Genomic DNA, 17,573 nt, shown 5'->3' with positions numbered 1-17,573 from the left:
TGGTTCAAGCAAAGTTCTAAAGTGAGAGATGAATGGTTTCGTGTTTTGTGGTTCTGAAAGTTGGGGGGTAAGACTTCTTTTTCTTTAGAAGGAGGGTTGAGTGAACCAATCAGACTGAATACAGAATGCTTCCCCTTAGCAGGTCCAAACCAAACCACTTCTAACTTAGATTGGAAAGCCAAGCTCTGTCCTCATGTCACTGTTTATGAAGCTGTTGCATTCTTTGGCAGGAGAATATGGAGGCAAATCACAAAAGGAAGCAGAAATCATATAAAATCTTACTTTCAGTAGTGAGGTGTCTACTTTTTGTTGTCGGTCCTGGAGGAGCTGACAGTGGCTGCAACCTTCATCACCATTTTCATAACGACTCTTGGAGAAAAGAAAGGGAGATATATGTTGTATCACTAAAAGTAATCAGGATGCTGATGACTCTCCTTCTCTGCACAAGCAAGGCTGCTTCTTTTTCAGTCTGATAATTTGGTCTTAGCCCCACGTGACCAAAATGCTGGACTATCCTGGCGTCGTGAGCTTATAAAGCAAACTCTCTGCAGCAAAGCAGTGCTGGGCAATGTGCGGCTGTGTCCATGTCTGTCAATGGCTTGACTTTCAATATGATATTTGTTCTGAGTATTTATTCAGAACTTCAAAGTCACCAACAGCAAATGATCCCTTATACAGTTTAGATGACACATGCTCTTGTAGGGTATGGTGTATACATTTTCTCTAAAAAAGAGAAAAATATTTCCTCAGCAAGTCTGGAAACAAGAAAATAGTTAATTTCTGGGGTCTGACAGTTTTTTTTTTAATGAGATTCCCTGAGACCCCCTGAAACTCATCTAAAAATCCCATCAGGGTCAGCATTGTGTGTGAGGTGTGTGCATCCAGAAGTGGGTACCTGTGATCCTAGCTGAGTCAAAAACTTGGAAGATGTGGGAGTTGAAGCAACAGATTAGAAATCTGATGACTATGACTATTTATGTATATACGTATGTAAATATAGCATCAGAACATCTGGATTAAAAAATAGAAAAATGTCTACATAGTTATCCATAGATATGGATATATAGATATAGATATAGATATATACTTATAAATATATAAAATGCTAAATATCTGGCTGAATAGTTTATGTGCTTTCTCAGTTTTATTTGGACTTAGACTAAGTGTGGACACAACATGTGAGTTCTGATATCAGTTATGTAAATAAGACTCTGTTTGTTCATAATTCGGGTTCTAGGTCTTTTTTCTTCTTAGGAAGCAGCTGGTAACATCGGTGACATTTCTAATGCACTTGGACACACCTGACAATACCCTACCTTGATGAAACAGGTGAATGCCTATGCCTTTTAGGGAGCAGAGCCAAACTTGAAAGGCACTACCACCACTGTACAGCTAGCTGGATCTTCCTTCACAGATTTGGAAATGTTTACTTAACTGAACTGTGTGGCTGCAGTTTCTAGGTATTTGATAAGGAAGAAGAGGAGTGACATGCCTCTCCTCAGAATGAAGCAGCAATATAGTCTTGTGTATTCTTTATGTTTTGAAGTTACACCTAGACCCAGGGACATGACAACATGGTTTGGGGATCACTAGTAAACCCCTGGGCACCTCTTGGTTGTCCCCAGGACTGCTTTCTGAGGTATTACAGTATGACGCTGTGTAAGCTTTGGTTTCTGGTATGAATTAACTTGATATATTTATTATATTACTTATGATTTTTAATGAAAACCAGACATCATCTCGTTGGTGTTTCACCAAAGCACTGCCACATTTACTTATTTATTTACTTTTGTGGTCAATGAGGTTTTGGGTTTTTTAAAAATCTCACTGATATTAGGTTGGTGCAAAGGTAATGGCAAAAACCACAATTACTTTTGCACCAGCCTAATACTATCCATAGACAAAAACATTGTATCTTGGTTTATTCTACATTTTATAGGTTGGTGCAAAAGTAATTGTGGTTTTCACCTTTTTTTTTTTTTTTTTTTTTTTTGAGACGAATTCTGGCTCTGTCACCAGGCTGGAGTGCAGTGGTGCAATCTTGGCTCACTGCAACCTCCACCTCCTGGGTTCAGACAATTCTCCTGCCTCAGCCTCCCGAGCAGCTGGGACTAGGGGCATGCACCACCATGCCCAGCTAATTTTTGTATTTTTAGTAGAGACGGGGTTTCTACTACGATCATGTTGACCAGGATGGTCTCGATCTCTTGACCTCGTGATCTGCCTGCCTCAGCCTCTCAAAGTGCTGGGTTTTTACCTCTTTTTAATGGCCAAAACTGCAATTACTTTTGCACCAACCTAATAAACAATTCGATAAACATTTCTTGAGTTCATCACACACTTGGATGAGTGCTGCAGCTATCTGGATGAAAAGCTATGATTCCTGCCCTTAACAAATTCATAGCCTAGTAGAGAAGACAGAGGACAAATAATTGTTTTAGAGATTGTAAAACCTGGTGATTTAGTGACAGGCTTGGAATGACATCCTCTGGATCTGAATCTTTTCTCTTGCCATATACTAACTGTGTGCTCTTGAATAAGTTTCCTAATGTCCCTTTATCTCAGAAAGGATAATCAACATCTAAATAAGGGTAAAAACTGTACCCTCTTATAAAGTTATTGTGATAATTAAAAGAATTAATACATGTATGAAGTGTTTCAAACAGTGCCTGGCAAAAAACAGAAGTCTAATAAATGTTAGCTTCTACTGTGATTCCTCAGAATTATGGCGGCAATAAAATAAATGCATTTGCATCAAAATCACCTGGTGATGGGGGAAGCTTAGTAAATGCAGATTCCTGGGCCTCCATCTCAGAGTTTCTAATTTAGTAGGTCTAGGTGGAGCTTGGGCTTCTGCTATTTTAATAAGCACCCGGGTTGGAGGTCTTTTTAAAGGGGTGGTGGCTGGCGAAAAGTTGTGGGTGATGAAGTTAGAAAGTGAAAGTAATTTCTGGAGAGTACCTGAGACCATCTAATTAAAGCATTTCAGTGAATAAATGGGTCAAATTGGTTTCTGATTTCATGTGGACAAAAATGAGGGATGGAGTAGAAGTTCGATCTTGCAGTTTGTCATGGTGGTGATAAGTAGAAACAGTCAATACTGTGCTAGTTAATCATTATGTCATATTCTCTTCTGATAACCAGCACTGAGCATTTCTAGGGAGAATTCAGCTTAGATGCTGGTAGTGGGGATATTTAGACACAGCAATGAGTTAAAAATAAGGATGTGAGCTCTCTCCCTCTTCCTCTTATGAATATCTCCCAAAAAAAGGTAGGCTTTTACCCATCTGAGGTGTTTAGATATTTGGGATATTTTAGATATTTTAGATTTGGATATTTGGATGCTTGGGAGTACTTAGGTAATGCCTCAAAATATCTACTCCATAAAATGAGAAGGGATCTTGGGGAAAAATGTTACTTTCTCTTTCTGTAGCATTAATAAAACTATGGAAATAGTGAGGGAATAGTCAATGGTCTTATAGTACAGATAAATAAATGAATTTCCGGCAGAATACGTGATTTTCTTCCTGCATTGTTTTAGACGAGATCGGGTGCGTTCAGGGTGGTATGGACGTATACCTTGCATTGTTTTAAACCAAGGGGATTTTACAGTGAATTTGAACAAGAAGAAAGTTCCAAGTGAAATCTGGCCATTGCTTTACATTTAATCTTTACATTGCTTTATGGTAGAACAAAACTTTTTGTCAGTTGTATGGTGGATTCTATGATTCACCTGATCCAGCAGGGGAAAGAAGGAGATTCTTTGGGAAACCTTGTTTGGTGACATGCAGTTGTTGGTGAGGTAAAGGGAAGGGACTAAAAAGGTAGTCAGAAATTGATTAGTTGTCAGAGACATTCAAGGGTCACCTTTGTTTTTTCTTTCTTTTTAAAATTGTCATTCTTCAGACATTCTATAGATGCTGTTTATTTATCATGCTATTAGCAGAAACTATGCTGCTCTAAAAAGTTACATAATCAAACCAAATCCTTATCCAATTTCACTGCAGTGGGACTCTGCCCACTGTGTGCTGCTCCATTATTATTGTATCAGCTTTTTAGCAATAATTGACGTCTATCTGATATAAAAATTGATACTTGGCAGAGGAAAAGAAAACCTGTTCTTTTGTGCTTAGGGCAAGTGGATGGTAACTTGCTTAAAACCCGTTTGGGAGTCAAATTGGAATATCTCTCAGCAACATTTCCCCACTTAGGTACAGTAACCGGAAGGTAGCATCCAAAAAATGTAAACCATTGTTGGGCTTCTGGATGTCTCTGAGAGAGCCTGTGTTTAGATTAATGGACGGTCGACTGAATAGGGGGTCATGATGAGTGGCCAGACTCTTTGCAACACAGTAGGCCTATTGTACATCTAACAGCGACTCAATTCAAAGCGATTCATGGCTTGGATGCTTCTGTAAATATACATTAGCCTTTAAGCAAACCAGGAATTATACCAGCTTTTATTTTTTTCTTTAAGAGAAGAAAATAAGAGAAAAAAGAATGAAACAAACACCAGAGAACTTTCTTTTGCAACAATGCCTTCTTTTCCTTTTGACATTGTTTTTTAAAGTTGCGGCAGTCCTGGGTGAATGAATATGGGTTTTTATCCCTTGAAACAGAGGCCTGCTGTCTGATGCAGGCTTCTTTTTCCTGCTTGATTGGCAGGACTTTCTGTCTCACTCCCATTAGAGAAGAAATACTGTTTAGATTTCGACACAAGATATTGCCAGTGGAATAAATAGTGCCATTTTCATGATAAAGTGGATGTTTAAGATTAAGGGTTTATTTAAGCCCACTGGTGAGCGACATTCCACTTGAATTAGGAGACACTCCTACAGGAAACAAATTTTATCAACCTAATTTTGTATTTTCCAAGCTTTTCCTGAGCAGCAGACAGAAGCAAAGATGTCGCCATAACCTTCTGTAGATGTCGCCATAACCTTCTGTTGATAGCGGAAAGCAACACCCAGGAGTAAGCGCTTGCAAGGTTAAGACAAAGAGCTCCCATGTACACGGCAGAGGGCGCTCGAGGACTGGCTGCGAGGAGTAGTTGGAACCGACTTCCCCGCTTCTTTCCTTCTCTTTTAAATGTAGGACAGGAAAAATAAAAGGATCATCAGCCAGAAAACAAAGGGCGCCAGAGAGCCAAATGTATGCAGCTGAAGAACTTGAAAAAAATTCTGGGGACTCAAGAGAGGAACCCATATTCTCATTCTCGTTGTCAGTCATTTTGCAGCTGTCCTGGCCTAGTATCACCTTCTCTTCTCCAGCCACATCCCCCACTTCACACTCCCTCAATTTGGCCCTCCGAGATTTGGTCCCGTTGGCCAGAGCCATAGGCTGCCTTTAGGAAAACCCCTGGCTCGCATGACGTCACCACGCTCATAGGGAGCGAAACTTCCCAAGCACCCCCACGGATGGTGCTAACAAAAGTTAAGCAGCGCCCCACCTCCTGTGTGCAACAGGGGTATCCTCCTCACCCCCTTTTTTTGTAAGGGAGGTGAGGTGGGAGGAGCTGACGTCGGGACACCTGGTTCTCAGCCCAGCGCTGCCCCCAGGGGCCTCCCTTAGTCTTTGTATTCCTGTTCTTCATTTGTAAAATGAGGGAATTGGGCTAAATGGTCTCTAAGCGCTCAGGTTATGCCGTTTGTAAAATTATAAGTGAGAGGTTGAGTCACCCCAAAGCAAGATTTTTAGTGCAAAATTTTGAGGGAATTGAGGCAAAGTGTTTTTTTCCTCTCTTCTTCCTGGAGTGTGAATTACCTGATTAAAAGTCTTGACTATTTCACTTCTATCTCTGTGGTGTATCGATCAAAAAGTTTATTGAACTTTTACCCTATGATCAAAATGGAGACGAGCAGATTAGATTATACCTTAATTAGCAGTTTTCTTTTTGCTAATGGTTTATTTATGAGTTCACAGCAATTTCTTAATATTAAGTTAAAAATATTGCCTGATAAACTGACAGATTACACTTGCATTTTCTCTTTTGTTCTCAGAATAAACGTTAAATATTCTTTTTTGGGGGGGATGTTCTAATTTAATTGGCCCTAATGAGAGCCAGATTGCTCATTAGAATAAAAAGGAAAATGACAATCTGTGTCACGTTTATCATCCTCAGTGATGGGCAAGGTTGTACTAAGGTTTGGAATAAGTAGACAGATGTAGAGACTAAGAGGGGCTCTGATAAACAGAGATATTGAATGTAGATAATAAGCCAATCTTAAAATTAAGCATGTGTTTACATTGTGTTCAAAGACTATGACGCCATTGGGAGACAGAATGTGGGGAGAGTTTAGCAACAGCCCTCTCAGCTGGTGACTTCAGGACAGAAACTTCTCAGTTCTCAGCAGGGGCTCCCTAAACAGCAGGCATAAGTGGATAAGTCAGTTTTGTCAAATATAGGAAAGTATATCATGTTTCAGAAGAAGACCAAAACATTATTTCAATATGAGTAAGAGTTTTCTCTTTTACCTAATAAGTGAAATGCTCACCAGTTTTATTCTGGAATGTCAGTGTGGCCCATTTTCCCTTAAATATTTGTGCCAGCAATTTCATAGTTTCCTTGGGGGCATATTTTAAAATCTATTTATCTCCACAGTGTCTACTTTGCATGGGGCTTTTGCAATAAGAGGTGCTCAAAGGCAGTTGTTGAACTGAATGTTCATATTAATTTTTTCCTCTTTAATGCAACAGAACAGCTACAGAAACAAACAAACCAAAAAAAAAAAAAAAAAAGAAAAGAAAAAAGAAATAGCCCTGCATGAAGTCACAATTTGGCTCATGCTAGGTGCTGAGTCCATTTCCAGCTCTAATGACTGGATACTCACCACCAGCTTTATCTAGGCTGCTGGGAATGAGCTGCACCAGTTGGAAGACACACTACTTATTGTTCAGATCGTTAAGCATGAATGTGCTAAGCATCAAAACTCAGATTTAGTGCAAGCTTAAAGTGGCCATTTCTTAGATCCAGCATTCTGAGTTTCAAAAAAAGAATGTTTTTGTATGTTAATACTAATGCCACTTTCTATTTGAGTCACTTCTGAAAAACAGTTCTGTGCTAGGGCAGTGCAATATATAGTTCTGTGACATTACTTAGTGAGAACCAGCAGCAGTGTGGCAAAGTGCTTAGTTGAATCAGAGCCATACAGAATCATATTTATGCTTACATAGGCGTTGTTGCATTTGGGAGAACGTGTTCACGGGAAAGGGTGGTGATGATGGTGGTGGTGGAATAGTATGTGATGTGGTTAGAAACCCTGTTTTTCCATTCATTGTTTAATCTTTGATTCTTCATCTATAAAATGAGACCTCTTGCCATTGAGTTGTTTGAAGGCTGAGAAAAATATATGTAGAGTCCGTAAACATATTCAAAAGTAGGCATTCAAAAATAAGCTATTTTTGTTATTTAGGTTCTAAAAAGCTCTTTTCTTCCCAACTATATTTCCAAAGAGCTGTCAAATAATGTACTTAGTTTTTGATTAAGACTGATGCTTTCCAGAATTACTGGGACAGAAACACTAACTACTCATTAAAATAATCCTTTGTGCCTTCAAGGGTTCAGTTCTTTTCTTCTTTCTCTATTTTCATTCTACTTCTCTCCTCAGAACAGTTTCTAAATTCTGCTTCCATCACATCTATTTGATAATAATCTAATATGCTACTCTTCCTGAGAATATTTCATTATTAGTAGGGAACAAATCTATCCACTAAGAAATAAAGTATGGAATGGGAATTTTAAGCGTTGGTGAACACATTGGAACATGTTTTTTTAGAGTACTAGGAAGTTTTCAGTGTTTTTGAAATTAAACTCATTGGTGGTAACTATGGCATGAAACAGATCATCTATTAAATCATCAGAAATTAAGGATTAAATAATTTATCTCACCAGTTACTTATCTAGAAAGGCAATGAGGAAAAAACATTTACATTCACTCATTTATTTAAATTTTTTTTTTTGAAATGGAGTCTTGCTCTGTCGCTCAGGCTGGAGTGCAGTGGTGTGATCTCAGCTCACTGCAGCCTCCACCTCCTGGGTTCAAGCAATTCTCGTGCCTCAGCCTCCCGAGTAGCTGGGACTAAAGGCACAAGCCATCATGCCCAGCTAATTTTTGTATTTTTAGTAGAGATGGGGTTTCACCATGTTGGCCAAGCTGGTCTCGAACCCCTGACCTCAAATGATCTGCGCACCTCAGCCTCCCACAGTGCTGGGATTACAGGTGTGAGCCACTGCGCCTGGCCAATATTCAAAATATTGAATACTAAAAATATTCAATATTTTTAAGTGATGGATTATTATGAGCCAAGAACCATTGGTGCTGAAGAGTCAAAAGGCTTGAGGCACAGTCCTTATACAGAGAGTTCCCAGCCTAGAATCAGAGAGAGCAACAGCAATGCACTGATAACCCGGAGGCAAAGTGGGGATGACTGAAAGAAGGTTGTTGAGGAACCAGCTCTGACCACCATGGTCTTCAGAAAGCACACTGCCTCCCTCTGGAATGAGAAGGCTGCACAGGCCATGCCAGGTATAACCTGGGCAGTTGAGAATTTCCACTGGGGCCATGTATTTGTCCATGGACAATGGACTGGATCTGTCTAGAGAATTATTTTTTGAGCAGAAAATTCTCTCAAAACATAAGCAAGATTATGGAGTCAGTGGAAAGTGATGTGACCTCTGTTTAACCTTGGGACTATTTATAATTTTAAACTTTTTCACTGCCTAGGAGAACAGGGGAAAAGTCTTCTGTTTCTACCCTTATATCTTCTATTATACTAATTGCAGGAAGAAGGCTTCTAAAGTCCACCATTAAAAGCAGTAAGGAAACTCTACCCATGACATGAAACACTACACCAAGCCAATGTAAAATTGAGTTACAGGCTCACAGGATTGTGGCCTTTATTTGAAGTTGTCAGCTGTGCTATTGTGGGTTAACTATTCTGAAAGCATACATCTTTTTTTTCCTAGGCAGTAAAGCTGTTTCTGTAGCCTTATTTTATTTGGGAACTATGCTGTGCTTAAATATAGTTTGTGGGTGAAATTGTTATAAGCTGGCATTTGTACTTTATATGATTTTGTATTAGGAAATTTTAGTTAAATAAAAACACTCACAGGAACTCGGGCAAATGTCTCTTATTCAGAGCATGCTTTGTAGGTTCTCACCGTGTTACATTCTAAAACCATAAGTTTCCTAAGAAGCAATGCAAATAGGAAACAGTAAACAGGGTGGAACACAAGAATTCAAAGCACCATGGGATCCAATTAGTCCTAGCAATTTGATAAAAATAAATTTTAAAGTCATGTACCTCCTTGTTAAGTATTGTGACAAATGTTCACTTATTCTGATGACGCCAATATTGAGGGGATGAACTGAGGAAATATGAGGGAAGGCTATCACTCAAGGAGCCCTATGTATACAGAAGCCTCTCAGAATTTAAGGTGCAGTCATTGTCAATTTTTTTTTTTACTGTGTGTATTTCAGTTAATAAGGTATCAGACATTAAACTTAAACATTGCATTTAAGTACACGATTATGAGATATGCAGTGCAGACTGAAGATGTTACAATTAGCCAAACCTATGGAGAGAAACAGAACATAAGAGAATGAACTGAAAAGAGTATCATGGCAGGAAACACATACACAATTTCATGACAGCCTTTCAGGGCATTTTCTCTGTGGCTATGTGAACTTGCTGAATCAGTGGGCTTCTATTCAGATCACCAAATGCGGAGACAAAGGCAATAGCATTGGTAGCTGGATGGCTTTTCCTATTGCCTTCAAATAGGGCTGAAAGCTGAGGGCAAAGAAGCATCAAGCATTTCACTTTCTGAAAAGAAAAATGAACAACTGGTACAGGAAACCTCTTTTAGGGCTTCTAGGTTCTGTTACTACCATCTCTGGGCTCTGCCATCTTGCTTTTCAAGGTCATCCCGTCAGCACATGCTGCTTTTACTCATCTTCCATTGGCTAGAATCAGTCACATGGTTAGCCTGACAGCAAAGAGTCAGAGAAATGTAAAGAAGTGCATGGAAATTAGTGAGAATCAACATTCATTGTGGTAGACTTATTGGCATATTCGGAAGCACACTTGCTTTCTCAATACCAAGTGAATGAGGGCTCCAAGGATTCGTGATTAGCGACTGAAGATAATTGAAAAAAGGGAAGACTGTCTCTGATAGGTCACCTACTTAGGCAATAAACTTACTGAAGTACTCCTTGTGTATATCTTAGCAGAGAAAAGACAATTACTGAAGACCAATAGCAAGACAAAGAGAGGGGATGGCATTGGAGTACTCCACACTCACACTGGTTGGAATGTCAAAGATACAGGAAATAACAACAACAGCCACAACAACAACAACAGCAACAAAGCAGGATCTTTCCATGGGCCAAATGGACTCTGAAAAAACTTGTAGTGAAGTCACTGAGGAGTTCCCCATTCAAGAATGTGGGCCACAGTGAGAAGGGACCAGGAATCAAGAGGCTGTGGGATGCTCTGCCAGGACCAAGAGCTATGAAGAATTACAGGATGTCAAGCCACGGATAGAAATCTTACAGAGAACGGTGCAGCATAGATGGCCTTGCAGAATGCTCCAAAGAACGTTCACATGTGTCTTGTTAAAGAGCCAATATTGAATGCTTGATCACTCAGAGGATATTGATGCTGGAGAACAACAGGCATATCTATCTACCTACCTATCTATCTATCTATCTATCTATCTATCATCTATCTATCTATCTATATCAGAACCCAACAGAGAAAAAAATTGCAACAGACAGAAGATGGAAATTAAGCAAGAGGCAGGTGTTTCTTTCTTACCTGTTTACCCTTCCAACCCTCAACATTAGAGGAGTAAGGGAAGAAGAGAGCAGGAGGAGGGATGCCAAGTCCAGAATAGACTTCCCTAAGGAGGAAGGGATAGGAATAAATAAAAGCAAATCATGCCTTCTGCACTCCAGCTGTGTTGGAGGAGAAAATGTGAGTTTAAAATTCAGCTGGATTCTGAAAATGACAGCACAAGAAAATGATGGAATCTTCTGAAGACATTGTTTGAGGAGCAGAAAGAGAGTTTCAACATAGCAGGATTGAAAGCAGTAATTGGAGAATAAATAAAAGCAATTATTCATTGAAACTTCCACTGAGGTGAGCTGTTTTGATAAACTGGCTATAGATTCATCTGACTTATTAATATTGCAATCTGACTTATTAATATTGCTCATGTTTTGATGGGTTGGACCAAAGATTTAAATCTGACTTAAAAATATGAGAGACTGATAATGTGGAGTGGAAGTGAGATGAGGTTGGACTTGTGACATCAACAAGACATGAGAGCTGGGGTGTTGTGTTTACTGGCTTGACCCTATCATCTTTCACATGAACAAAACAGGGACCAGAGTTGGCATATGATTGGCTACAGATAAAATGACTGCTTCATAATCAAGATAGCTAACTTGATAATATCGAGAATACTATTAAAAATAAATGCTCCAATTCTTATTTTATATGTAAACTGATTCATCATTTAATTTCAAAATAAGTAGATTTGAAGATGAGAAGATCATTCTTTTTATGTTGGTCCTCTGCAATTTTGAGGCTACCTAAAAAGTAGTGACTTGAATTTTTTCTAGATCCTTTATAATCCAGAGTGCACATTGCTCAGAATTCTTTGTGATCAGAGTCCCTTAGAATAGTAACTAAAGAATAAAACATATGTTCCAAATGTTACTGGGCTTCCGGGATTAGCTTATAACATTGTCCCTTTCTCTTTATTTGAAGTAGGACTTACCTCTTCATCAAATCCCCAAAGTCAATCCAGTTCTACAGAACATTAGAGAGTAATGTAAATTTTCCTCAATATGTCATGGGGTAACACCATCCCCTCTTTTTAAGCATTTTACGATACTTAGTAAAATTCCCAGTCAAGTACCTTGCCCCCTCCTGTGCCTCTCCAGTCATCAGCTGCTTCTTTTCACTCTTAAGTGCTCCTAACCTGTAGCCTTTTCTTGCCTCCCAGAAATTTTATGATCCCTTTTCCATGTAAAGTAATTGACTCTTCTCTTAGCTTCTTTCATCTTGCACCTTCACAACATCATCTCACAAGGCAGGCCCCACTTTGGGGACAGTCTCCTTAGAGAGCTGAGGGGGATTTCAAATAAGAAATAGGAAGCAATCTAAGGGTCCATCAACAGATGAATGGATAAAGAAAATGTGGTACATAGACACAATGGAGTACTATTCAGCCATAAAAAGAATGAGATCCTGTCATTTGCAACAACATGGATGGAATTGGAGGTCGTTATGTTAAGCGAAATAAGCCAGACACAGAAAGACAAACATTTCATGTTCTTATTTATTTATGAGAGCTAAAAATCAAAACAATTGAATTCATCAGCATAGAGAGTAGAAGAATGGTTACCAGAGGCTGGGAAGGGCAGTGGTGGGGAGGTCAGGATAATTAATTGGTACAAAATAATTAGAAAGAATGAAAGGGACCTATTATTTTATAGCACTGGAGGGTGACTATAGTCAATAATAACTTAATTGTACATTTAAAAATAGCTGAAAGAGCATAATTGGAATGTTGTAACATGAAGGATAAATACTTGAGGGGAGGGATACCCCATTTTCCATGATGTGATTATTATGCGTTGCATGACTGTATCAAAACATCCCATGTACCCCATAAACATATACACCTATTATATACTCACAAAAATTAAAAATAAAAAACAAACAAAACAAAAGAAATATTTTTTATCTAAAATAAATGTAGCAACTTCAGGCAGTATAGTATTTTTTTATCTGAAATAAATGTAACATCTTCAGGCAGTAGAGTATTCTTCATGTATCTCAGTTCATCATGAGCAGTTGATGTTTGTAGATTCCCCCTTACTTCTAGAAGTTCAGTCTCTGCCCTCAAAGAGAGTCACTCAGTGTTGGATGTGGCTTGTAGAGACCTGAGCCTTTACAGTTGGTGTGGGTTACCTATGTATGGCTTTCTCTCTGGGCTGACTTCATGTTCGTGCTAGTGTCTGTTCTTATGTCTCTCTTCTTCGGTCTATATCAGATCTGAATATGGGCTACTATGCTAACTTGATATCAGGCTCAGCCCTGGCCCACCCTTCTTCTTACTAACGTCTCATTACATGAACCACATTTTAACATCCTTTCCTATTCCCCCACTGCATTCAGCATTTGTCCTTCTCCATGTTTAGAATGTGACTCCTGTATCAGCTTTGAGAACTGACCTTAGTTGTTCTGTCAGAGATACAACTCCCAGATCAAGCAGAGAGAATTTGTTGGGTTTCAAGTCACCATTGCTAATCTTAGATGATGTGAAGAGAAACTTTCATGTCTGGACTAACATATCCCTTTGTGCCACTACAAGATGAGATATCTGGCATATCCTGAAAGAATATATACACACACACATATATATATATACACACACACATATATACATATATATGCAACAATTTATATCACTATCTAAAGGATCATATACATGCAGAGAAATCCATTTCGACTTTTGGTTGAAGTTTTCCAAGGGTATAAATAGATGCAATTCCATGAAATTGTCAGTACCTTCTAAAAAGCTTACTCAGAGTTAGTTCATGAAACAGGCAGGCATTTGGACCTCACAGTCTGAAATCAAGAGTGCTAGAAGACCCGTGGCATGGGGTTTTGGTGAAGTAAGAATGCTGATCTCTCTGCTGTTAGCCACCCAGCTAGTGAGGGAGCCAAGTTCACTGCCCAGCATCAGCCTCTCACTGGACTCGCCTGTCATCTGCTCATCACTACAGGGATTTTTTTTTGTGAGGTAAATTATACACTGTTCTTGAATTTGGGGGTTCTGGACAATCTTGGGTTTTTATCTAGATTCTCAAGCTCTTACTTTGTTTTCTTAGTCACTCCCAGCCAAGGCTACTGTTTGTCACATGCTACAAGGGAGACATCTCCTCTCCCTGCCTGGGCCATTTCAATCTGTCTATTCAACCTCTCAAAGTCTGTAATTAGCCTCTCTCAGAGAACAGGATAAAACACAGAACCTGAGGTGAGGAAATGGGATGTGAGTCTTGGCTCAGAAATATGCCCATTCTGTGACCTCGCAAAGGCACATTTCTTCTCTGAAACTAATTATCCTTGTCAGTAAAATAAGCATAAAAATACCTTCCTCATAGAGTTGCTCAAGAACTTAAATGAGATAAGATACAGGAAAATGCTTTCTAAAGTGTAAAATTCTTACAAATGCAAAGTGATATTATTCTCTGGCAATCTATTTGTAAAACTTAGCATAAGGAATTTGTCTACCTCATATCCTCTATGGAACAAGGTAGAATGGAAATACAACTGGTTATTTCACTCTAACTTTTTCTTGTAACTTTCATATGTTTTTGAATGGTAATTCTTTTTATTGGGAATTTTTGTCAACCTTTCAAAATGTCAGTTTGAACAGTAAAAGTTATCATTCTTCATTATAATAACCCAAATACAGATTGTGTTTTAGGACATTAATATAACATGACATTATCTATAACTCATTTATTTACCTATTCCACCAACAAACTACTGGAATCACAGTGGACACTGCAAAGGATACAAGAAGAAATGGGGAGGTATTCTTCTGATCTTACTGCTTTCTAACAGGGAGGCCAGAACACATGAAACAATTAGAAGCAAGAGAGTTACTCAAAGATTACTTGATTAAAATAGCTATATATGGAGAATTTTGGAGGCCACCTTTTTACCAAACTCTCTGTGCCTTTTAAAAATGTCACCTAATTTTTTTATCTCAATTCAGAAATCGATGCAACTATCAGGCGCCACTCACAATTTATTATATGTCTCTTTAGTCTCTGTTTGTGTCCCACCTTAAAGATTTATAATGTGTACAAGCAGCAATTTTCTGTATTCATTACTTAAATTTCATTTTTAAAACCCCTCCTCAATTTTACCTCTTTATGTTTTAATTTTGAGATTGCAACTTGACTTGCAAATTTTGCTTGCAAAATCGCACCACAGATAAAGAGTAAGAACACTTCTAAACCTCTAGTCTACTGGAGCTGAAGATGCTTTCTTCTCAGCCACCGTGAGAGTAGAAAGGGTTAATGAATTAGTCAGTTCTCTGCTCTTTGCTCAGTTTCCGGTGGTAACCTAAACCCAATGGAACCACACAGACCTGCACTCAGCTTTTCCATCGTTTATATTTCTGGTGCCTGAAACAATGTCCTTAAAATGAAAGGAGCATTCTTGGCAAAAACAGACACCTGCTGTTTGGGTGAACTTGAGAATCCTTTGGTTTGCCTTAACAAAATAAATATTTCAGGGAAGAGCAAGTTCCAGGTCTGAAGATGACCTAGGTTGGGCTGGCTCCATGGAGTACTAGCCAAGGCATTGAGGATAATGGAAATAGATGGTCTCTGTAGGAGGGAAGTAGGAAAGAAGTGAAAGGGAAGCTCTGGATGAGATTATTACTTAAAGTATGGTTTGGCTGGAGGAATAGGAGCTGTGCTCCCTAGATGGATGCAAGAATCGAATATGTGGGTAGCTGTGGTTCACTTCCCAGAGGATAGTCTAGACTGGAGTCACTGTTCAAGTGTTGCTTCCAGCAAATACTAATTACAGACCTTCAGAAAATTAGGAGGCTGTCCATATAGAAAGAATGTAGATGAAAATATTCAAATAAACATTAGTGTCAGAAAAGGGAAGAAGAGGTGATAAAAATTTTTTATGCCTGCTATATGCCCAATGCTATGCAAATGTTTTTTCATTTACTCCTTTCAACTAACATATGAGATCTCTAACTATTGCCATCTTACATAGGAAGGAACTGAGATTATGGGAGCTTATGTTACTAAAGGTGGCAGAATAAAAAAGTAGAAAAACCAAAATTTGAATCCCAGTCTGTCTGACTCTGAAGTCTAGATTTTTCTCTCCTACAGCATTTGGCCTTGCAAAGTCTGTCCTCCGTAGGATCATGCTCCTCCTGGCTTGTCATGATCTCTGCTATCATTTACTGAACACTGTATTGTACATTTTATATATATATGCTCACAAAAACCCTAAACATAAGTTTTATTATTCTTATTTTACAGATAAGCTGAGGGGTGGGTAGATTAAGTTGTACTGAAAGGCGTACAGTGGGTGGAACCAAGAATCGCACCCTGGTTTATCTCTCTCCAAAGTCCACGTTGGTTTCTGTTTTTAAAATAATTATCCTGAATACAATGAAGTGAAAAAATTATTCCAGATCCAATGAATTTGTTATGTTAAGTGACTTCTTACCGTAGTACTTTGGGACACCCTACCAATCATGAGTCACCATGTTAGGGTGGGCTGTTTATATGTTTGTCAAGAAGACAGCAAGAAAACAGACTGTATTTCAGTCTATCTATCTATCTATCATCTATCTATCTATCTATCTATCTATCTATCATCTATCTATCTATCTATCATCTATCTACCTATCTCTCTCTCCATCTAGTCTACCTATTATCTATCTATTAATATGATCTGTCTATCTATCTATCTATCTATCTAATCTATCATCATCCATCTATCCGTCTATTTATCTACCGTGTACCTATTTTGCCATGAAGTAGCAATATAGCAATTCTGTCCCTAAGTTGAAGGTATAGGTAACTTTTAAAAAGTCTTAATAAGCTCAAAAACAAAACAGCAACCTACCAAGAGATGGATTCAGGGGTAAAATGAAGGACAAAGCCAGAGGCAGAACAGACACAAAACTGTTCTTCTTTTCCAGGTGACTTCAATCCTCTCCCTCCCAGTTGTTAATGTGCTACTGAGAATCAGGGCTTCAGCTCTTTCAACACCAGATCCTACAGTCTTGCAATAGGATTTAATTCAATACTTATGTTCCCTTGAGAAACAATTATTGGGAGCTTACTATATTCTGGCACTGTGCTAGGCACTGTAGACACACAGCTTTGCAAGACACATTCTCTGTCTTCAAGGAGCTCACAGTCTACAGGGGGACATAGATATATAAACTTAAATTGTGAAGGATGCATTCTTGAGAAGCTCTCATAATTCAAAACACCAGAATTCAAGAAACTACCGTATATAGCCAGTGAAATATATTACTGGCACCTTCTCCTCTTGCCTTTGGTATCCAGTCAAATGGAAGCACATCTATGGAGTCCTATAGGTCAAGAAAGAGTCATGATCCACGTTACCAAGTTGTTCCTGTGGATGAGAAGATATTCTGAAACTAAAGTTCAGTCAAACATAAATGCTATCCTTCCAGTACAATCCATACTTTAGTGTAATCAAAATGTTGATGAGGAGAAATTTCTCTTGATAGATATATTCCAGCTAAGAAATGCAGCATGAATTATAGAATTATGCATTGATCTTACTTGGATTTTGCTTCAAATGAATATACTATAAAAGCAAATAAGCAAAAACAAAACAATAGCTTGCAACTAAAAACAACTCAAATGGCCACCCAATGGGTGAGCAGTTCAACAAATTGTGGTATATCCTTATAATGGAAATGATATTCATCAATAAGAAGGAATGAACTATTGATTCACATATGGAATGAAGGAATC

At 38.5% G+C, this 17,573-nt stretch overlaps 3 annotated features.

Annotated features, from left to right (window-relative positions):
* Positions 4,873-5,167: an enhancer, noted in NCBI's record as "tiled region #297; HepG2 Activating non-DNase unmatched - State 13:Ctcf, and K562 Activating DNase unmatched - State 4:PromP". NCBI's record gives its function as "activates a minimal TATA promoter and a strong SV40 promoter by Sharpr-MPRA in HepG2 and K562 cells {active_cell/tissue: HepG2 | K562}" and the evidence as "EXISTENCE:reporter gene assay evidence [ECO:0000049][PMID:27701403]".
* Positions 4,877-4,926: an enhancer, noted in NCBI's record as "active region_2548". NCBI's record gives its function as "activates an Ori minimal core promoter by ATAC-STARR-seq in GM12878 lymphoblastoid cells {active_cell/tissue: GM12878}" and the evidence as "EXISTENCE:reporter gene assay evidence [ECO:0000049][PMID:35858748]".
* Positions 4,881-5,080: a silencer, noted in NCBI's record as "fragment chr1:219834516-219834715 (GRCh37/hg19 assembly coordinates)". NCBI's record gives its function as "represses an EF-1alpha promoter that drives an FKBP-Casp9 reporter gene in an ReSE screen in phorbol 12-myristate 13-acetate-treated (for megakaryocytic differentiation) K562 erythroleukemia cells {active_cell/tissue: K562(+PMA)}" and the evidence as "EXISTENCE:reporter gene assay evidence [ECO:0000049][PMID:32094911]".

The sequence above is a fragment of the Homo sapiens genome, chromosome 1, assembly GCF_000001405.40.
Source record: "Homo sapiens chromosome 1, GRCh38.p14 Primary Assembly".
Classification (NCBI taxonomy): domain Eukaryota; kingdom Metazoa; phylum Chordata; class Mammalia; order Primates; family Hominidae; genus Homo; species Homo sapiens.
This window is presented reverse-complemented; position numbering and strand designations above follow the sequence as displayed.